General features: G+C 41.2%; 1 protein-coding gene across 16 annotated transcripts in view; it reads right to left on the bottom strand.

The window, feature by feature from the left end:
- ADAMTSL1 (ADAMTS like 1) overlaps nucleotides 1-22,970 on the bottom strand; it is a 1,004,318-nt gene that overhangs the window by 80,402 nt on the left and 900,946 nt on the right. For all 16 annotated transcript variants that reach the window (XM_011518064.4, XM_017015312.3, XM_011518063.3 and 13 more), the window contains 3 exons: nucleotides 13,312-13,440; nucleotides 4,086-4,265; nucleotides 572-706 (listed from right to left, as the gene is read on the bottom strand). In XM_011518064.4, the coding sequence (XP_011516366.1) occupies nucleotides 572-706; nucleotides 4,086-4,265; nucleotides 13,312-13,440 (444 nt within the window). The remainder of the gene's footprint in view (nucleotides 1-571; nucleotides 707-4,085; nucleotides 4,266-13,311; nucleotides 13,441-22,970) is intronic.

The following is a 22,970-nucleotide window of genomic DNA, read 5'->3' as shown; positions in this document are numbered from 1 at the left end:
TTCCAACACTAGATGACAGGGAGGTTGTACTTAGTGAAATTAGTTCAGCACTTGCCTTGAGGAGTCTATCTGGGTTGGCTTTAGGCTATATCTACAGAAAGCTGGTCTAAATAGTATAGTCTTCCTTTTGGAGGGTGCTGATATTTGACTTTCTCCTCGAAAGTTGATTATTGCTCTAGTTTAGGTGGCAGGGGATCATGGAGGAGTACTGGGGAATGGTTAGCAAGAGGAGAGGAGATATAGGAGCTGTTCTTTACTGCTGTAACTTTCTCAAAGTTTCAAGAGTCAATCTGATTGAGAGGATCTGGACTATGGCATCAACCCAAGAGGATTCAGAAAGGAGCCATATTGGAATCTAGACAAGCCACAGAGTCCAGACTAACAACTGCATTCACCTCATATGGAAAGTCAGCCAAGTTTCCACTGGTGAGTCTGGATTCTGTAGGCAATTTAGTGATTCCCTGTTGGCCACCCCCGACTGCTGCCTCCTTCCCACCTGCAAACAGTCACCCATCCATAAATCCTGTCCAGTCCTGGCTTTCTGCCCAATGTTTCCGAGGGTTAGACTCACCAAGGAGAGCAGAATTCCCAGGATCCAGGACCAGCTGTGTTCCCAGAGGAGACGTCAGCACTGAAGGAAGGTTCGGTCCAGTGGCAGCGAGCAAGGCCCTGATGTCTTCCAACTGTGTGGGGACTTGGGGGGGATCTGTGAGAAGGCAGAGGGTGGATCAGGCAGGTTAAAGCACAGGGCTGTGTCAAGGCAAGAGGAAGAGGTGGGTATGCATGTGTGTGCACATGTATGCGTATATGTAAGATAGGCATTACTATTGTTGCCTTTTAACATTATTTTTCCTATAGAGGAGTCCCTGTCAAGGTGAGTCTGAATTTCAAACTTAATACAGGTATTTGATGCCTGAAATAATAAGGTCAGTAAGAAGAAGCAGGCATACCAAGTTCAGGGGTTTCTCACTTTAGATCACTGGGTACCTACACATTTGTAGATAAGTTAAACTATATCATAAAGACACTTTTTTAAAAAAGTGAATTTTAGCATTTACTATGCCAAGTTCTGTGCTAAATACATTTCAGTCCATTTTTCATTTAGCTCTAGTAACAGTCTTCAGAATGAGGCACTCTGTTATTGTCCACACAGATAAACACCACGGGAATTTCTTATTTAAAAGGACCCTTTTCTATGAAGCAAAAGATGCAGTTGTGAAGTTGGTGAGTTAATTTGCTTTGTGGTTTGGATTTTTATGCCTAAGTAGGACCTAGATAAAGCAGGGAGGAGAATGTTGCTATGCGATGCTTCATCATTCAGAATCTTACAAGGAATCAGCGCTGAAGTCATCAGAGTTCCCAGTTAATGCTAAAAGTGACTAAAATGGGAAATATATAGTGGCTTATCATTTCTGCTGGACAAATAAAGAGCCAAGAACCTGCTGAACTTAGTGGTGGGATGATCCCAGATTCTCTTGGAAAAGCAGCAGATCCCTTTTCCCCTCTTCCTGCATCTCCTGAGGAACTGCAATTTACACTCCCAAGGCCAGCTCCCACCTTTTTCTCCAGAGCACTTGTTGGAATGGAAGCAGCAGCCCAGGAGTATTGCTCTTGAAATGGATGGTCATTTCAACAGCATTCTGCAACAGCCCTACTACGTGCCTGGCACCTTGTAAGGCACTTGTTAGGGCTGGTGAATTAATAAGTCATGATGGTGCCTGAGTCTACTTGAAAAACATACCTTCAGTCTTTCTGTCTGACTGACAAAGACCATTGTATAGAGAAAACAATGATGAACTAGAGATTACATATGTGTGTGTGTGTACATATATATATATACACACACACACATTTTATATATATATATATATATATATATATATATATAAATATACTTTCAAAAGAATCCTTTTCATATGGCATAGAGAAAAACATCATGCCTGGGTTCAGGAACCCTCAGTTTGAGCCATGCCTCTGTCATTCACTAATTAGGTCATTTAAGTCCTCAGAGCCTTAGTTTTCTCATCTACAAAATGAGGTTCCTTTCTAAGATCTCTTTCTACTCTGGAATACCATGATTTTAGGAACTGATGGTGGCAGTTTACTCAAAGCATCTCTCTTTCTCTCCTCCTCAATACTTCCTCTTGAAACTCATGAAAGCTGTGCTTATTTACTAAGAGCAAAAAGGGGAGGGTACTTTCCATCTTCAAAACAATCAGCTCTTTTTGGGCCAATTGTTGGCCCCTCCTAATGTCCTTACAGCTTTGAAAGTAATTTTCCTTTTCAGTGCATGTCCATTTGCTCTTCCCAGGAAAACTGTAAATTCTCCAGGGGTAGAGGCCACCACTTATATTTCTCCTAAAACTTTACCAGTGTCCAGGTGACATGGAACTTAATGTCAGCAACATAAAATGGCAACACTTAATGAATATCTGTCCAATGGACTATATGAATACATGGATGAAAGTCTGCCTTACTGCATTTCAAGTCCTCATAGTACAGGTTAAGTCACGGAACTTGGGGTGAAATCTCAGTTTCATCCACAAAATGCCCCCTTTAAAAATTAAGCTACATTTTTGCAGATTAAATGAGACATTGCTTTGATGTTCATAAAGTACCTGCTAAAAGCTAACAAACTTTCCTTAATAAACCAAGAACTGTGATCAAGAAAAGCCTTAAACCTAAGAGTCTTGACAGTGATTTTTTTCCCCATTAAGTTTGATGAAAATGGGGAAGATGTTTTGCTCTTCGAACACCGTGTTCACTGCTACACTGTATTAGAGTTGGAATGCAGTAAGCACCTGCCTACAGAACATACACACTTCATTGGCAAAGCCACAGTAGCAGCCATACATCTTAGACTTTCATCTGTGTTAGCAGAGACAATAAGGAAGGATTATTAGGGAGAAAAATCTCATTGGTAAGCACCGTAACTCAGTGTGGGGCAATATTCCCTGGTCTCTGGGCTCCAGACTAGCAGCTCAGCTGGATGAAACCCAGCGCAAAACAAATAACATCTTTCTCTGAGCCAGTTTTCTGTGGCTTCTTAAGATGGCTGGAGGTTTATGCAGCCACCAGTGAGATGAAAACCCGTTTGGGCCTCTCTGAAATCTGAGTGGGCAGGGTCTAGAAGGACCTATGTGTTGGTATATCTTCAACTCTCGGTGTGAAAACAGAAGTGTAAAGTTTAAATATTTTTCCCTGAGGAAGTCTGTAATGTATGTTTATGTATGTATGTGTGGCATGAATTATTATTTCTTACATCTTTCCCTTTTTTCCTTAGAATGACAGCTTTCTCTAGGTGAGAAAGAGCATAATTAGAGCATAAGTGCTCTAATAATTGCTCTTTTTTTTGAGAAAGCCAAAAAAAATTTTTTTTTTTTTTTAACTTTATCTCCCTAGCACCCAGACTCAGTGGGGGAAGAACAGCAGGGTGTCCCTAGTCCAGGGGGCAAAAACGGTTATAGCTTGCAACATGGCTGAGTCCAGAACTGGGCAATAATCAGATGGTGGATGGTGTCCCAGCAATTATTTTTAAGCACCCATTTTATACCAGGAGCCATGCCAGAGTCTTTAATCAGGGGTTCTTATGTTTAGGGGTACATGTGGAGACTTTAGATGGACCAGACCATAAGCTTCCTGGAATTATATGAAAAATATTACATGTATGAATTTTTCTAGAAGGAGGAATCCATAGTTTTTATCTGATTCTCAAAGAAGTCCTTAATGCAGGAAGAGTTAAGGACAATTGTTTTAATTAGGTTATCTCTGTTTGAGATACCTGTTCTGCCCTTGCAATCCTCCTGTCTGGAGTCTCCGCATAGAGACCAGTATCTAAGGCTTAGCAGAGTGAAGTAACTTGCCCAATGCCAGGCAGTTAGTAAATGGAAGAGCCAAGGTTCAAGCTCTTGTTTGGGCTCAAAGTTTGTGTTCTATCGAAAGGCCCTAAATTGGGAAGAAGTGAAGGGATATCAATTTTACCTTTTATGTCCTTAATTGGATTAGGGCACAAAGGAGGTAGAGGGTGGGTTAGATAGTCACTCCCAACAGGGTGCAGCAGAGGCAGCCAGCTTTGAAGTGTTTACCTAGGATCAGCAGCTGGGTGCTCTCAGTCAGCTCTCCATGAAGATTGGCCGCCCTGCAGGAGTACAGGCCCTGATCCGAGGAGGACACGTTTGTGAGCAGCAAGGAGCCTTCGTGCAGATGGTGCGGGGAGCCCAGTTTGCTTTTATTCCTGAACCAAGTGACTTCAGCTTCAGGCACTCCTAGGAAGAAAAAAAAAAAACAAAAAACCCCACTCATCAGTCAAACACATTCAGGTGAGCCCAGAGGCATTTATAGCTTCTTGAATCCCCCTTCCCTGGGGCTGCTCTACAGGGACATCTTCTACCAGGCTTTGGCCAGATTAAATAATGTCCAGAGCCTGGTAGGATAAGGATATAGACTTCAGGGTGACCAAAGAATCAGAATAAATGTTGATACAAGATAAACATCTCAGTTGTCTCCAGATCTTTTGCCTTTTAAACTTACAGTGATGAGACAGGAAGAGGGAGGCCAGTACAAAGAGGAGGAAACAGGAAGCTGGCAGGGGGGGCTTGCCAAGGTGGAAGGAGAGTACCCAAATTCTTTGGAGAAAATGTATTTGAAAAACATGAGAACCAAATGTATACACCAGTGAAAATGAAACTACATGAAATAAACATAATGTTGAGTAAGAGATGGCAGACACAAGAGTACATACTGTATAATTTCCTTTCCGTAAGTAAAAAAAAAAAAACCTGGTAACATTAATCTATGCTGTTAGTAGTCAGTGGAATGAATGGGGAGGGGTTGTGACTGAGAAATGGGACAAGTGGCTTGGCCACTGGCGATGCTCTGTGTCTTGACCGGGGGCTGGTCTGGTGGGGAGTGTTCACTTGGTACCTTTATGATACATGTACTTTTCTGTATAGATATATTTTAATAAAAAGTGCAAAGCTATACAACGTTAAAATATATGTATGAACTAGACAAATGGAAGCTGCTAGATTGCTACTGGAGTTGACACTCTTATGTAGAAAACTTGCTTGTATTTTTGGAAGCCTGCATATCTTCTCAGAGCAAGAGAACATGAAATGGTAGTATCAGTAGAACCACAGGAAAAGGACAAAAGGAAAGTGCTCAACTCTTTCCACAATCCAAGTTTATTTTCTGTGAGAGAGATGGGATGGGGAGATCATCTGCTGACCTGGGATGGGCTCTCTCTTTGGAAGCCAGGCTCTGTGCTCTAGGGACCCCATGAATTCCTCAGGAAGTTTCCTTGTGGTTGACATGCTGGAAAACAGGCCCTGAGAGTTTAGGATGAGCCTTCCTAGATGCTGTTTTAGGAGGATCCTATAGGAGGCTGGGCTCTGAGTATGTTGAGAGACTGAAGATATGTGGCACGGATTCACAGGTCTCTAGGGAGCAGAAAGCACCCTCCCCTACACAACTCAGCCTGCTGACCCAGCTCACACAGTTTATTTATAGAACTCACTGGCATGTATCCAGGGCATGCTTAAAGTGTAAAGTCCTGGCCGGGCGTGATGGCTCATGCCTGTAATCCCAGCACTTTGGGAGGCCGAGGCAGACAGATCACAAGGTCAGGAGTTTGAGACCAGTCTGACCAACATGGTGAAACCCTGTCTCTACTAAAAATACAAAAATTAGCCAGGCATGGTGGTGGGCACCTGTAATCCCAGCTACTCAGGAGGCTGAGGCAGGAGAATCACTTGAACTTGGGAGGCAGAGGTTGCAGTGAGCCGAGATCACCTCACTGCACTCCAGCCTGGGTGACAGAGCAAGACTCTGTCTCAAAAAAAAAAAAAAAAAAAAAAAAAGGGTCAAGTCCCGGGAAATGGGGTCAAAGCCAAGAATGGCCAAGGAGCCAGACCTTTAGTCTAGTGGTCTAGTGTTTTCCCTGAGCTGGGGCTGGTTTTTGCCTTTGGGGCAAGGGCAGTTTGCCCTTAATGGCTAGCCTTCTGTTGAGAATGCAGAGTGTCTTCAAAGAGTTGCCTGTGTATCTGTTACGTGTCCTTGAAATTGGCTAGAGAAAGAGAGGCAGGGCTACCGAAAGTGGGTGGAGACTTGGATACCACAGCCTTGTCACATCAGAGAGAGGCACACGCTAATCTGGCTCTAACAGTAGGATACTTTATGCTCAAGTGTGTAAGAGGGGCCAGGTTGGCATCATCTCTAAAGATACCTGGAGAAAAGACACAGGTGAGGGGTGGAACAGCTGATTTTTCATTGCAGCACCACTAGGGAGAGCAAGAGCATCATGATGCCTGTCCATGCCAGCTTGGACTTTGGACCCTGAGCTTAGTTTTTTTCCCATTTAAAAAAAAAAATCCACGGCATTTAGGAGACAGCCTCAGAAGTAAATTGAAGAAATGCACTCTTAGCTATTTTTCTCCTGAAAGAACAAGGAAAAATGAGTTCCTGCAAACCCTTTTCCTCTTTTCCTTCCCCTTCCTTCCTTCCTTCCTTCCTTCGTTCCTTCCTTCCTTCTTTCCTTCCTTCCTTCCTTTTCTTTCTTATTGAGATGGAGTCTTGCTCTGTCACCTAGGCTGGAGTGCAGTGGCATGATCTCGGCTCACTGCAGCCTCTGCCTCCTGGGTTCCAGCGATTCTCCTGTCTCAGCCTCCCAAGTTAGCTGGAATTACAGGCGTGCACCACCACGCCCAGCTAATTGTTGTATTTTTAGTGGAGACAGGGTTTCGCCATGTTGGCCAGGCTGGCGTTGAACTCCTGACCTCAGATGATCCACCTGCCTTGGCCTTCCAAAGTGTTGGGATTACAGGCACGAGCCACCATGCCGGCCCTGCAAACCATTTTCTACCATTATTCATCCTCTTTCCCTCACATTGCTCACATGCAGCACTTACTGCCTGCATCTTCCTTTGAGGAGGGCTGTGGGCAGCAAACACAAAGACTCAGGGGGAGAGAAAATGAGAGTGAGAGTGACAGAGGGGAGAAGGGAGGGTGGAACAGAGGGAGAAGGGAGAGAACCCAGGGATGGAAGCAGACCTGGGAGCTATTTCTCACTCCCCCAGGAATGGCTTGCAAGCTTCTTCCATTCCCTTGATGTCTGTCTATCTCATGCCGTTCTAAAATTGTGCTTGTTTGAGAGGACAGGACTGGATATAAACCAAAAGGGCTGAATTCCTCTGGTGACAGCAGGGGACTTCATGGGAGAAATGGAAACGTTCAGAATAGCAGGGTGGAGGAAGAAACCTCCAGTTTCTGTAAACCTGGAACCATGGACCTGACAGCAGTCCCAAGGGAAGAGAAATTAAGTGGGAATCATTCTTTAATCTACTGGCAAACCTCTCTCAGATTCATTCAAGCACAGATCTGCATTATGAGTTTGCCGATGTAGGTATTGTTACTGGTGCCACATTTTGAGGACTTCCTGCCTGGAACTGTGGGCCTTAGGTGGAGAATGATATTACTAAGACACCTTGGAGTGACAGCCAGTCCTTCCATAACTGGCTCTGACATTACGCATGTAGAATGAGGAAATAGAAAACAATAATTGAGGTGTTATAAAGTTTTTTTTTCTTTTTCTCTCAGGAGATGACAACGACGCTTTAAAAAACGTCACCAGCCCTTGAATGTTCCACAGAGTCCCTTGAAAAGGTAGTGATACACATGCCTAATACTGATGTTCAGAATACCTCAACATCGGAGTGTACTGAGACATGCAAACGTATCCTGAGTGTGTTAAACGGAGAAATAACATTGAACATTTGCTATAAGTCAAACATTTTATAAACACAATCACTTATTTTTAACAATGATCCTGTGAAGCAGGTACTATTTAATAACTCCATTTTATGAGAAAAAGGGTCTCATAGAGATTAAGAAATCTGCCTAAGGTCACATTTGTTTGGATGCCTGAACGATTACATCATTACATCAGAAAAGAGTTTCTGTTCCCCCCAGTTCCCTACCCTACAGCCAATCAGTAACCCACCAGTGCCAGGGTGGGGATTCAAACTGAGATACCTTTAATGCCAACAGTCCCCATCTTAACAAGTGTACACCGCCTGCCATTATACTAGCCTGACTCTTGAGAGAAAATCTGAACTGCTGCTTTACTATTTCTGAACTGTCAAAGGCTTAATTCCTTTCTACTTTCAGAATTAATGTTTCTGCTGTGGTTGTAAAACCAAGGTGTTGTCAGGAGAGAGGTTCCAGAATCCATGTGTTCTGGCTTTTTAGCTCTTTCTTGTTGAGAAGCTTGGTCAGGTTGCGGGAGATGATCTTTTCTAGCCTGCTGTAGTGTGACAGCAAATGCCACAAAAACAAACACCTGAAAATGACAGAAAATATGCTCTACCACAGAACAAAATCCAAAAGCTATGTTGTTGTGGACCAGCTACTTGGATAGGCTCCACATGCTAACCTCCCTGGTATTATTTGTATCTTAAAACAGCGAAGGAAAAGAACCCACGTTTGCATTTTCCCCTGTGGTGTATCTTTTCAACAGCCCCATGCTCTCCCTGCTGCTTGAAAGGATCAGTAAAAGAGCTTAGTCATACTGGGTGGTAACTTGATATGATTACAAGGTCCAGTGCCTTTGATGTCCATGGAGCTGCCAGGTAGGGTGATGCTAAAATATTCTTTTTTAAAAAGTCCCAGACAGGGTATTCTTGTTAACTGGATCCCTTATTACATTTGGAAGGCTGCCTGCACCATGGCGGTGTGTCAACATCTCAAGGTGGGGTTTCCACTCAAAGGTGCACCTTTACATGGGAAATTCTAGAAGCTTCCTAGGAGGTGTGGAGGTAGGGTGGCTTAGGGAAAGAAAAGAGAAAGGATACAGTAACTCAACTGTCAGTCTTGTCAATTATTCTAAAAAACCAAGGCAGTCTGGAAAGAAGGTTTCCAGCCTTCCACGTTTCTCCATACTGACTGTGGCAGACAACGATAGCTGTTCACAAAACCAGTTTCCCTCTTTTTCCTGAGTACCCAGTGAGCCTACCTTCCCCAGCATCCTTTGTAGTTGTGCGTGGCCATGTGACTAAAGGATTGTGAAAAGTCTTAATGTATGCTCCTTCCAGGCGTGGCCCTTAAAAGCCTTCTCAACCATCCTCCGTATTCTGTTTTCCCCTCTCCTGGTTGATAGGATAGAGGTAACCCCTATGGAGACCTTGGAAGGCATGTGTTCCAGATGTCAGACCCACCAGCATCCTGTGACCCTGCATGACACTGTGGGGGCAGATCCTCTCCAGATGACCAGGTGTACTCTTTGGGCTCTTAGATAAGCAAAAATAAACCTTCTATTGTATTTGAGCCATTATACATTTGGGGGTCTACTTGATACCAGAGTCTAATCTATCCTAATACACCACCCATCACTGACTCTTGAACTATTTCTGCATCCTTAGTCCTGCTGATTTTATCTCCTAAGTAAGTCCTTCAAATACTTCCTTTGCTTTTAGGAGAAAAACCTAAACTGTACCATAATCTATGAGAACATGTAAGATCTAGCCCCTGCCTACCCACACCTCCTCAGCCTCATATGCTACTTTCTTCTCTGCTCTTGATATTATAGCCACACCACCAGCCAGGTTTTACTTCTTTAAATGCAGCATGCTCTTTCTACCTCAGGCCCTTTGCACATTCTGTTCCCATTTACTGAAACACTGCTTCTTCCCCTGATCCTTTATCGCCGACTCAGTTTTCTGACCTCTTCAGAGAACAAATAGAGAACAAGCATGGGAGTGATACAGTGGATTAGGTCACTTTTCAAGAAAAAGCCTATCATACTCATTGCCTAATGCTGTTGATGCTTCAGGATTGGGAAGAATGTGAGGCTGCATTTTGTAAGCTGAAAGCACATGTACGCAAAAAGTTGTTTAATGAAAAACTGCTAACAATTCAAACATGTGAGTTGGTCTAGGTAAATTACATAATATTCTTAATATAGGCTATTATATAGCCATTAAAATTATGCTTATGACACAGACAAATGTTTATTACTGAGAGGAAATAAAGCAGGATAAAAGGGAATCATTAAGGAAATTAATAAAATGTCAGCTGTGGTTGAGTTTGGAGAGAACGACTTTGAACAAGCTGTTTTCTTTCCTTTTTGGACTCTTAAATTTTTCTGTGTTTTCTAAAATTTCTTTAATACTCTAATATTTTATAATAAGAAAACAACAACCGTATCTACATATCACATTGTATTATCATTACATATTTCATAACTTTTCTCCTTCCCAGACTGTGAGCTTCCTGAAAATTGTATCTTGTTTATCTGTGGCTCCTTGGATTAGGAGAAATTTGATCTAACCTGGATTAAATACTCCATAAAAAACTGCTAAATGAATAACATGAATGAATATGACATAAAATACTGCTTTAAGCAGGCCCTTATGGAGTCCCTCTTCCCTGTCTATTACGAGAATCTGGGTTGCAAATTCTCAAGCTAGAGTATTACCTACTGGCAGTGTTATTGGTGCTTAGAGAATCCCACCTAACCAATCAGGAGGTCACTAAGCTGCCTGACTGGGAATGGGATAGAGGTGACCAAGAGTAAGGAAAGAGCCTTAAGAGCTGCTTATAGCAGCAAAGTAAAAGTAATCCTCTGCCATTTGGCATTTAGCATTATAGCTGTCAGTGTTTTAACTGGAGACTAAGCTCACAGATGATTTCCTTGTCCAGCAAATTCACTGTGTAATTATAAGCAGGCTCTTTCCCACCTACTTTGAATGAGTATCTTGTTTAACAAGAGGAATAAGGACAAATATACAAATAATTATTTTAGTTAATCAGCATTAATACAGATGGTTTTATGGATAAAAACAAAAATAAAGACTGCAATGTCATAGCCAGGGAAAACTAGGTATATCAGGTTCTCACTATAAGGTTATCAAGTGAGCCTCTGGATGAAGTCCCAGAGAGAGGGCCCTAGGCGGCACAATAGAGTGGCCAAAGCTCGTTTTAATATCTTAGGCTCCCCAACGTAAATACTTCCTCAACCAGATTCTGGTCCTCTCAATCTCCTTTAAATGCCCATTTCCTTGTTTTGCTGCACTTTCCTCCCCTATTTTTTTTTTTTTTTTGAGACAGAGTCTTGCTCTATTGCCCAGGCTGGAGTGCAGTGGTTCGATCTCGGCTCACTGCAATCTCTGCTTCCTAGGTTCAAGTGACTCTCATGCCTCAGCCTCCTGAGTAGCTGTGATTACAGGCACTTGCCACCATGCCTGGCTAATTTTTGTAATTTTAGTAGAGATAGGGTTTCACCATGTTGGCCAGGCTGGTCTCAAACTCCTGACCTCAGGTGATCCACCCACCTTGGCCCCCCAAAGTGCTGTGATTACAGGTGTGAGTCCCCATGCCTGGCCCCTCCCCTATTCTTTTACTCCTACCAGTTCCACCTCTCAAGAAGATACACAACATGGTCCATCATATCACCAGTGTTTCATCGCCAAAGCATGTGTCCATAGTGATCAGGTGTGTGTTGAGGGGTGATGGTTCTGCAGAAAGGGCTCTACTGGCACCACCATTAATCCCTGCACAGAGGGGTAGCTCATTCATGCCAACCCCTGTCAGGGGTTTTGTCTTACTCCCTATCTAGGAGTACAGGGGCTGAAGGGACTTGGTTCTAGATTTCACTGATGAGGCTGGAAGGGAAACATCACAAAGGCCATGAGAAGCTTTACAAAGGCAAAGCTAATGCACACTTACAAAGATATATTTATATTTCAGATATCCTAATTTTTTTTTTTGAGATAGGGTCTCGCTCTGTCACCCAGGCTGGAGTGCTGTGGCATGCCCATGGCTCACTGCAGCCTTGACCTCTGGGCTCAAACGATCCTCCCATCTCAGCCTCCCTCAGCTGAGACTATAGGCATGCGTCACCACACATGGCTAATTTTTGTATTTTTTTGTAGAGACAAGGTTTTGCCATGTTGCCTAGGCTGGTCTTCAACTCCAGGGCTCAAGTAATCTGCCCACCTCAGCTTCCCAAAGTGCTGAGATTACAGGCGTGAGCCACCAGGTCTGGCCATATTTCAGATAGCCTAAAGCTATCAGAATATTTCAGAGAAAATCAGACTTGGCTGTTATTCGGAAACAGTAAGCCCTAGGTTAAGATATTCCTCCTACTTACTCTAAAATGGGTTTTCATGTCTTATAAGTAACAAATTGAGGTAAACCTTCATATGATGAAGATCTAAGATGAAGCAACCACCAAAGCATGGGGGTGCCACTGCCTATCTACTCTGCAGACAGGGTATGATCGGGGAACCTGGGTTTGGTGTGGCCATGCCACTGTGGGGTATATCTGATGAGGACAGCAATCAGAAGACTAGTTGCCCAATGGCACAAGAACCATTCATTTCTTCATCCCATTGTGGCAGTGAAACCCCTAGGGCACACATGACAAATGAGTGGTCTACATGAAGGGAAAAATAGTAGCTGGGCCTCATTCTGCTATATGTAGGTGTTTTCTGTCTTTTAATTGAAGGTAAATATTTTTATACAGAGCATATTACCACCCCCTCTTGTCTACTACTCCTTGCTTCACTGTGCCTTCCTGGTCCCTGTTGACCTCTGAGTTTGCAAGGCCCACCTGAGAGCAATGCCTGTATCAGAACTCCACTGGCTATCTTCTCTAATAACTCCTGCCCACTTCTGATTCGAGCAAGCTCCACGCTGCTGTTGGTCTTACCTCTTGCCATCTTTCTCATGTCCATCCAGTCGTTACCTTCCCATCCTCACTGCCCTGAGTTCAGGCCTCCATGACTTCTCCTCTAAACTACAGTGATGGGTCTTACTTGGCCTTTCTGTCCTAGTATTTCCCTTCTCAATCCATTTTCTTCAATGCTGGTGGCTTTGTCTTTTGGAAGCATGGCTCTTTAATGTCACTTCCCACCTGCATTTCTGCACTCTGGGCTCCACCCAGACCAAAGCTCACCCAGTTCTCTCTACAGCCTAGAGGATTTTCTACTTCCATGAATTTATCACTCTCCTGTGTCCACTTGGAACTCCTTGCCCCCATCTTTGCAGGTTCACATTCTATCTGTATGGAAGGCTAAGATTAAAGAAAAACATACACATAAAAAGATCAATTTTACCTATCTGTCCCAGTCAGAATTAATCTTTCTTCCTCTAAATTTCTGTAGCACTTTCTACTTTCAGAGCGACTGAGGTTCATGCTTTGGCTTTCCTACTAGCACTATATCCCTGAGAGTAGAATTTGTGTCTAATTTGTCTTTGTATCCCCAACCTAGCACAGGGCTCCATTAACGTGTGAACAAATGAACATTAATTTCTCACCTGCAACCTGGCAGTTGATTGTCACATTCACTCCCTGCACTGTTTTGATGGTGCTTCCTATATCGACTGTGACTGCAGGCTTCTCCGTGTTGATCACTGTCATTCGTGACGTTTTCACTAGTGGCTTTCCTGAAGATAAGAAAGAATATGAGATGTTACTTGGTGGTGACTGTGGAAATTGGGGCACTCCTTTGAAATATGGGCTAACCACCAATGCATGGCTGGTCTACCCAGACTTTTGCCACTAACTATGTTTTCTCTTGAAAAATTGCAAGCGCACAGTATAAAAGCATCTACCTACCTACCTACCGCAGTGTTGTCAGTAAAAGAAATGATAAATGTTTGCAATGATGGATATGCTAATTGCCCAGATCTGATCACCATATATTAATTATATCAAAACATCACTATGTACTCCATGAATATGCACAACTATTATTTGTAAATTTTTTAAAATTAAATTAAATTTAAAAAATGTTTACAACTTGCAAAAAAAAAAAAAAAAAAAAAAAAAAAAGACCAAGGGTTGAAGAGTTTGAAGACAGAGCATGTTATACAAATTGAGATGATTTATGCATTCTAATCATTAAATTAACAAATAATCCTCGACATCATGTTTTACAGGGCCCTTTTTTAAAATTAAATTTTTTCACTTTAAGGTAATTGTAGACTCACTTGCAGTTATAAGAAATAATAGAGAGTGCTGGGTGCAGTGGCTCATGCCTGTAGTCCCAGCACTTTGGGAGGCTGAGGTGGGTCGATCACTTGAGGCCAGGAGTTTGAGACTAGCCTGGCCAACATGGTGAAATCCCGTCTCTACTAAAAATACAAAAATTAACCGGGTGTGGTGGCATGCACCTGTAATCCCAGCTACTTAGGAGGCTGAGGGATGAGAATCACTTGAACCTGGGAGGTGGAAGGTGCAATGAGCCGAGGTCACACCACTGCACTCCAGGGTGAGACTCTGTCTCAAAAAAGAAATGATACAGAAAGAGAAATACTGCATTATCTCACTTATATGTAGAATCTAAAGAAGTTGATCTTATAGAAGTAGAGAGTAGCATAGTGGTTAACAGAGACTGGGGAAGGGAGCGGGGAGAGGAAGATAGCGAGAGATTGGTCAAGAGGCACAAAGTTATAGTTACATAGGAGGAATAAGTTCTGGTATTATATTGCACAGTAGGGTGACTATGTGTATATTTCAAAATATCTAGGGGAAAGGATTTTGAATGTCCTGACCACAAAGAAATGATAAATATAAGAAGTGTTGGATACGCCAAATACCCTAATTTGATTTTTATACAATGTATACATGTATCCAAAAAAATCACACTGTTCCCCATAAATATGTACAATTATTATGTGTCAATGAAAAAATTTTGAAAAGCATGATCCATAAAAAGAAAAGTTTGTCTTTCTGTGCCTGGCTTATTTCACTTAACATAATAACCTCCGGGTTTATCCATGTTGCTGCAAATAACAGGATTTCTTTTTTTTTTCTCTTTTTTTTTTTTTTTTTTTTTTTTGAGACAGGGTTGGTCTTGCTTTGGCATCCAGGCTGGAGGGCAGTGGTGTGATGTTGGCTCACTGCAGCCTCTGCCTCCCAAGCTCAAGTGATCCTTCCACCTAAGCCTCCTGGGTAGCTGAAACTACAGGTGTATACCATCACACCTGGATAGAATTTTTTTTTTTTGTATTTTTTGTATTTTTTTGTAGATACAGGGTTTCCCAGTGTTGCCCAGGCTAGTTTCAAACTCCTGGCTGGGCTCAAGCGATCCACCCACCTCAGCCTCTCAAAGGGCTGGGATTACAGGCATGAGCCACCACGCCTGTCCTCATTCTTTTTCTTTTTTTTTTTTAATGGTGGAAAAGTATTCCACTGTACATATATACCATATTTTCTTTATCCATTCATCTGTTGATGGACACTTGGATTGATTCTATATCTTGGATATTGTGAATAGTGCTGCAGTAAATATTGGAGTGCAGATATCACTTTGATTACTGTTTTCATTTCCTTTGCATATATACCCAGGAGTAGGATTGCTGGATCATATGGTAGTTCTAGTTTTAATTTTTTGAGGAACATCTAAGCTGTTTTCCATAATGGCTATACTAATTTACATTCCCATTAACAATGTATAAGAATTCTCTCTTCTCCACATCTGCGCCAGTATTTGCTATTTTTTGTCTTTTTGATAGTACCCATTCTAATAGAGGTAAGGTGATATCACATTTTGGTTTTGGTTTACATTTCTCTGAAGATTAGTGATGTTGAGCATTTTTTCATATGCCTGTTGGCCATTTGTATGTATTCTTTTGAGAAACGTCTATTCAGGTCTTTTGCCCTTATTAATTAACTAATTAAGTTAGGGGCACATATGCAGGGTTGTTACATAGGTAACCTTGTGTCATGGGGGTTTGTTGTACAGATTATTTCATCAGCCAGGTATTAAACCTAGTACTCGATAGTTATTTTTCCTGATCCTCTCCCTCCTCCTGCCCTCCACCAGGCCCTAGCATCTGTTGTTTCCCTCTGTGTCCACGTGTTCTCATCATTTAGCTCCCAGTTATAGGTGAGAACATGCAGTATTTGGTTTTCTGTTCTTGCGTTAGTTTGCTAAGGGTAATGGCCTCCAGCTCCATCCATGTTCCTACAAAGAATTTGATCCTGTTCTTTTTTATCTTTTGTCCATTTTTGAAAATTATTTTTTGTTGTTGTTGAGTTGTCGGAGTTCCTTACGTATTCTGAATATTAATCCCTTGCCAGATAAAGAGTTTGCAAATATTTTATCTCATTCTGTAGATTGTCTTTTTATTCTGTTGATTGTTTCCTTTGCTGTGCAGAAGCTTTTCAGTTGGATGTAACCAACAAGGACACAATAACAAAAAGGAAGCTACAGGCTAAGATCCCTGAAGAACATGTATATAAAAATCCTTAACAATATACTAGCAAACCAAATTCAACAGCACATTAAAAAGATTGTTCACCATGAAGAAGTTTCATCCTACAGACACAAGGATGGTTCAACATACGCAGATCAACAAATGTGATATATCACATGAACAGAATGAAGGACAAAAACTATATGCTCAACATCACTAATCTTCAGGGAAATCCAAACCAAAACCACAGTGAGGTATCATCTCACCCCAGTTAGAATGGCTATTATAAGAAAGACAATAGATGTAGAAAAAGCTGTTGACAAAATTCAACATCCATTCATGATAAAAACTCATAACAAATTAGGTTGAGAAGGCTTCAGGAATATAAAGGCCATATATGACAAATCCACAGCTAATATAATACTGAATGGGGAATAACTGAAATTTTTTCCTCTTAGATCTGGAACCAGACAAGAATATCCATGTTCACCACTTTTCTTCAACATAGTACTGCAAGTCTTAGCCAAACCAATTAGTTAAGAGAACCATATAAAGGGCATTCAAATTGGAAAGGAAAAAGTTATACTGTCCTTGTTTGCAGATGGCATGATCTCATATATAGAAAACCCTACAACTTTACTAAAAAATTGTTAGAACAAACAAATTCAGTAAAGTTGCAGGATTTAAAATCAACAAACAAAAATCTGTAGTGTTTTTATATACTAATAGTAAACTACCTGAAAATAATCAAGGAAACAATCCCATTTACAATAGCTACAAAAAACCCCTTAGGAACAAATTTAACCAAGGAGGTGAAATATGTCTACACTGAAAAGTATAAAACATTGATGAAAGAAATTGAAAAGGACACAAATAAATGTAAAGATATCCCATGCTCATGGATTGGAAGGATTAATATTGTTCAAATGTCCATACTGTACAAAGCAATTTACAGATTCAGTGCAATCCCTGTGAAAATACAAATGACACTCTTTACAAAAATAGAAAGAACAATCTCAAAATTTGTCTGTAACCATAAAATACCCCAAATAGCCAAAGAAACCTTGAGCGAAAAGTACAAAGTTGGGGGCCGGGTGTGGTGGCTCATGCCTGTAATCCCAGCACTTTGGGAGGCTGAGGCGGCGGATCATGTGGTCAAGAGACTGAGACCATTGTGGCCAACATGGTGAAACCCCATCTCTACTAAAAATACAAAAATTAGCTGGGCGTGGTGGCACAGCCTGTACTCCCAGCTACTTGGGAAGCTGAGGCAGGAGAATCACTTGAACCAAAGAGGCAGAGTTTGCAGTAAGCTGAGATTGTGCCACTGCACTCCAGCCTGGTGACAGAGTGAGACTCCATCTCAAAAAAAAAAAAAAAAAAAGTACATAGCTGGAAGCATCACACCACCTAATTTTAAAATATACTATAAAGCTACAGTAACCCAAACAGCATGGTATTGCCATAAAAATAGACACATAAACCCATGGAACAGAATAGAGAACTCAGAAATGAATCCACGTACTTACAGCCAACTCATTTTCAACAAAAGTGCCAAGAACACAGAACAGAGAAAGGACAGTCTCCTCAATAAATGGTGCTGGGAAAACTGAAGCTAGACCCCTAGTTCTTACTACATAAAAATTAAAAATGGATCAAAGATTTAAATGTAAGACCCAAAATGATAAAACTACTAGGAAAAAACATAGAGGAAACACTTCATGACATTAGTCTGGGCAGCAATTTTTTAGATAAGATCCCAAAAACATAGGCAACAAAAGCAAAAACAGGATTATGCTTTTGATAGCAAGTTTAAGAACTATTTACTTAGATCTAGGTCCTGATGATTTTTCCTATTTTTTTCTAAATGTTTTATAGTTTTACATTTTACCTTTAAGTCTGTGATATATTTTGAGTTAATTTTTATGTAAGATGTGAGAGGTCACATTTAGATAAGAGGTCAAAGCCCATTTATTTTTTGACTATGGATGTCTAATTGCTCTCTCACCACTTATTGGTTATATTTCCTACATTGAATTGCTTTTGCACTTTTGTCAAAATTAGCTGGGCACAGTTGTGTAGATCTGTTTCTGAGTTCTCTATTCTGTTCCACTGATCTATGTGTCTGTCCCTCTACCAATATCACACAATATTATTTATTGTAGCTATATAACTAATTCTGAAATTAGGTTGGCTGATTACTCCTGCCTCTTTGCTATTCTAGTTCCTTTGCTTTTTCATATACATTTTAGAATAATCTTCTCTACATGTATAAAATATTAGTAAGATTATGACAGGAATTAGATTAAACATGTATATTAGGAAAGAAATGACATCTTGACTTTGTTGTGTTTTCCAATCCATGATAAATATGTCTATTTATCTTCTTTAATTTAGATCTTCTTTAATTTCTTTCATCAGAGTTTTGTTGTTTCTGAGATACAAGTCCTGTTATATTTTGTTACATTAACCTAATTATTTTGGTTTTCTTTTGATTGTCTATAAAGACAATCATTTCATCTGCAAATAGGGACAAGTTGTATTTCTTTGTTTCCAGTCTCTATGCCTTTTATTTCCTTTTCTTCCATTACTGCACTGGGTAGAAGTTCTAGCACTACAATGAATAAGGGTGATGAAGGTGGGTTTTTTCATGATGTCTAGGTTTCAATTGAAGCCTGTATATTTTTTTAGTTATGAGACTCTGGATCTTATGTAAACCTTCTGTTTTAGCTGCTTTCTATAAAACCACTCAGGCTTGGGAGCAGGGAGATGCCTCCTTGTTACTACCCAGTGCAGGTTAAGTCCAAGTTCTCCACTTGGCCTCTTTTGTTACCCAAGTGTGGGACTCCTCATTACTGCTGGGCAGGAGTGGGAGTTCTGGATCCCCACATAGTCCCCACTACACAGCTGTGGGAGGAGCCTCCTCACCTTGGGCAGGTGGTACAAGTCCTCACTCTCCAGGAGACCTCCTCTACACCACCCCAGTGGGGAGGGAAAGGTGGGCACGGCAGGGTGAAGGTGGAACTCCAGGCTCCCCATGTGGTCTCCACATTACACTCTGGTAGGTGTAATGAACGAGGACTGAAAATCTCTGATACTCCCCTCCATGAGGGTTGGGGGGCACCTCATTTGAGGCTGGCTGGTGGGGAATCTAGGCTCCCTGCTCAGCCTTTGCTGGTGCAGGTAGTGGTGGACACACTGTTTTCGGTGGCATTTGGCTAGCATAGAGTAGAATTTTCTAAAGGTTTTCTGTCTTGCTATGCTTCCCCTTTCCTAGTCCTTTTGTTAGAGAGAGAAGGTTTCTAGCTGGTGTTTGTTTTTTTTTTTTTTTTTTTTTTTGGTACTCATTGGTGTTTACCAGTAGCCAGCTTCTTGAACTCCAAGTTTGTGATTTATGAGGCAAAAAGAAAACCCAACAAATTTACAGTTTGATTTCCAAGGTCTTTGGTCAGTTGGCTTTCTTCCCTTTACTTTTTATTCTCCTTATGTGTGTTTTATATATAATGTACAGGGCCTTTAGTGGTACTTAGCAGTAAGAATAGGGAAAAGTGTAACTATGCCATCTTTCCAGAAGTCGAAGTCCTGTGTACATTGTGTTTTAATAGGCCTTTATCAGCTGGGAATAAAATACAGAACTTCATGCACATGACTACAAAATACAATGAAAAGACTCATTCATTGAACACCTTGGGGAAGTTGGGTCCCCATGAGATCATATTCATATAACCCAAGCTTAACCTTCTGTAAGTTAAGTGGATTTAATTTTGTTTTAACCATGTTACAGGCAGGATATTCTACAGTGATATTCACTCTTCTCTGCTTTCATTAAATGTGAAGAAAACCTTAATTCAGAAATGCCCTTTGGAGTCTTATACTTGCTTTTTATATTTTTTGTTTTCTCCCACATCTATTTATCCTGTATTCCTGTTTGTACCGTCCCACAGCCTCATAATAGAAGCTATCCCTCTTTCTTCTTTGCCATTTTATTTGCCTTCTAGGCATAGGTAATTAAGCTCATCAGAACTGTGTTCAAGGGCAGAAACTTGAATAATGTTCTGAGAAGCTCACCTTGGAATGCATGCATAGGCTCTATTTTGACTGTTCAGGGGCCTTTTTCCTTATACAACTTATATTCCATACATTTGAGATTATGTATCATCTGATGAGTGATTTAGTACTATAATGATTGTTGAGCATAGTAAATGTATGGCCACAATGGGAGGAAGCAGTTGGAATGATACTGAATTAGCACTGGTATACATGACCTCACCTCCCTACTCAGAGTTAGAGCTACCCAGCTCTGACTCCAAATCTACCCCTGCATCTCACCAGCATCTCTGTTGCTATGATCTAATGCTACCATAATCTCTGGCTGGACTACTATACAGACTAACTGGTCTTCTGACTTTCACTCTTCCCTCACTACAGTTTTATGGCAGCCAGCGTGATCTTGCTAAAACATGAATCAAACCATACAACTTTTCTGCTTAAACTTTCCAGTCCCTTTTCAGTACAATTAAAACAAAACTTCAAGCTCTTTTTCTTTTCTTTTTTTTGTTTTTGAGATGGAGTTTCGCTCTTGTTGCCCAGGCTGGAGTGCAATGGGGGGATCTCAGCTCACTGCAACCTCTGCCTCCTGGGTTCAAGTAATTCTCCTGCCTCAGTCTCCCGAGTAGCTGAGATTACAGGCATGCACCACCACATGCAGCTAATTTTGTATTTTTAATAGAAACGGAGTTTCACCATATTGGTCAGGCTGGTCTCGAACTCCTGACCTCAGGTGATCCACCTGCTTTGGCCTCCCAAAGTGCTGGGATTACAGGAGTGAGCCACCATGCCCGGCCTCAAGCTCCTTTTCATGACCAACCGTCCCTTGTACATTAAGACCCAGTGGTCTATATCACCTACCTCACTTAGCCCACACTCCCCATCAATCACAGTGCTCCAGCACACTGGCCTTCCTTTCCTCCAACACAGCAGCACATCAGCCCTGGCCATTCCCTGTCCCTGACATCTTCCACCTACAGACTTCTGCACGGCTCTCTTCCGGTCGTTCAGGTCTCTGTGCAAATAACACCTCCTAGTGAGGCCTTTTCTAACCACTCCATATAAAGCATGCATCCCTGTGTGTGGTATGGAGGTGAAGAGATGTATACTTTAGATGGGGACAACTTTACTTTTTTCATAAGCACTAGAACTAACAGAATTTATCTTCTATATTTGTGTATCTCCCCCCAGCCCCTGCTACTTCATTATGTAATTTTGATAACATCAGAGATCACATCTCTCTTGTCTTCTTTATTTCTATCACCTAGGCCTGGCGCCTAGTAGATTCTCAATAAGTATCTGTTAAGTGAAAATATGTGTTTATATGGTGTGCTATGTGCATTATCTGGATTTTTTGGATAACAACCCTGAGAGGCAGAAACAACAGTACTATCTTTTACATACACAAAGAACTCAGACTCAGAAAGGCCCCATGGTTTGTCCAAGGCAACAGAACTAGCAAGTTATAGGGCTGAACTGGAGCCCAGATCTTTGACCTAAAGTCTGGTGCTTGTGATAGGTAGTCCCAAATCTTTGTCTGTGGACTGGCTGCCTCAGAATTCCCAGGGCACTTGTTTAAAATATAATCTGTCCTGCTATAATACAAGAGTTGCTCTACTGTGTTATAAAAACAACTGTGCCAGTGGGGAAAATGAGGTTAGGGACCAGAGAGCTTTAGAGTCACAATTACCAAGTTATTTTTCCTACAGGAATTTTAATAATAAAGGTGGTTTTTTATAGCTGCAAGTGTATAGCTATAAAATTCAAATGTCACTGAATGAAATCCAGCCCTTAATTAATTATATTGAGTTTTTGCTGGAAAGTAATGGCCTTTTTTTCTTGTCAGGAGGATCACTGTTGTTAGCACAGGCTACTTCTTATACATTCTTATTACTTTCATGATCCATTGTTAAGACAAAGCACAAAGTTATCCAAGTATTTATAATCAATAGAGATTTTAATGAAAATAATGTTGCTTAATCAATTGACCCTCTTACACCTATTAGAAAAACGTTAGCATATATTTTGAGTCCCACTTCAGAACTACTAAATCTGAATCTCAGGTGACAGGGTACAAGCTGTAATCTCTATTTTAAACAAGTTCCTAGGTGATTCTGTTATGGAGGCAGGTTTGATATTCAATACATTGTACTCTTTTAGTTTTTCTTTAACTGGTTCCTCTTCTTCCTGGTGAGAGATTATCTTTTGAGACACCACTAGATCTCTATTACAATTTTTCAAGCTGGAGCTGTTATTTTAGTGGCCAACTTAAAAAAAATCAACATAAGCCTACTTTAGATCACCTGGTTGATCACCTACTAATAGATTACTGCTGTGTGATGACTGCCACGTGATTGCCAGTACCTATGTTTGTGGACACGATTACAATCACATTGATATTAACTAGTACTAGTTTAACCATAGAAGTTAACTAAGGAGAAAAAAACATAGATGCAGAGAAGGAGTGAAATGATAAATTATACATTTGTGTTAAGATAACAAAAGCCATGGCACGCTGTACCAAAAGGGCTTTCAGAATAGGAAAAACAGAAAAAGGTGCTGAGAGCTAAGTCAGCATTACTGAGCCCTCCACTGAATGCGCCGCGCCTCAGCAGTCAGTACTATGTATGCTTTGTTTTTTTTTTGTTTTTTTTTTTTTGAGACAGAGTCTCGCTCTGTCGCCCTGGCTGGAGTGCAGTGGTGCGATCTCGGCTCACTGCAAGCTC

Source organism: Homo sapiens, chromosome 9 (assembly GCF_000001405.40).
Source record: "Homo sapiens chromosome 9, GRCh38.p14 Primary Assembly".
Taxonomy (NCBI): domain Eukaryota; kingdom Metazoa; phylum Chordata; class Mammalia; order Primates; family Hominidae; genus Homo; species Homo sapiens.
The sequence above is the reverse complement of the archived record's forward strand: the minus strand, read 5'-3'. Positions and strand labels throughout refer to the sequence as shown.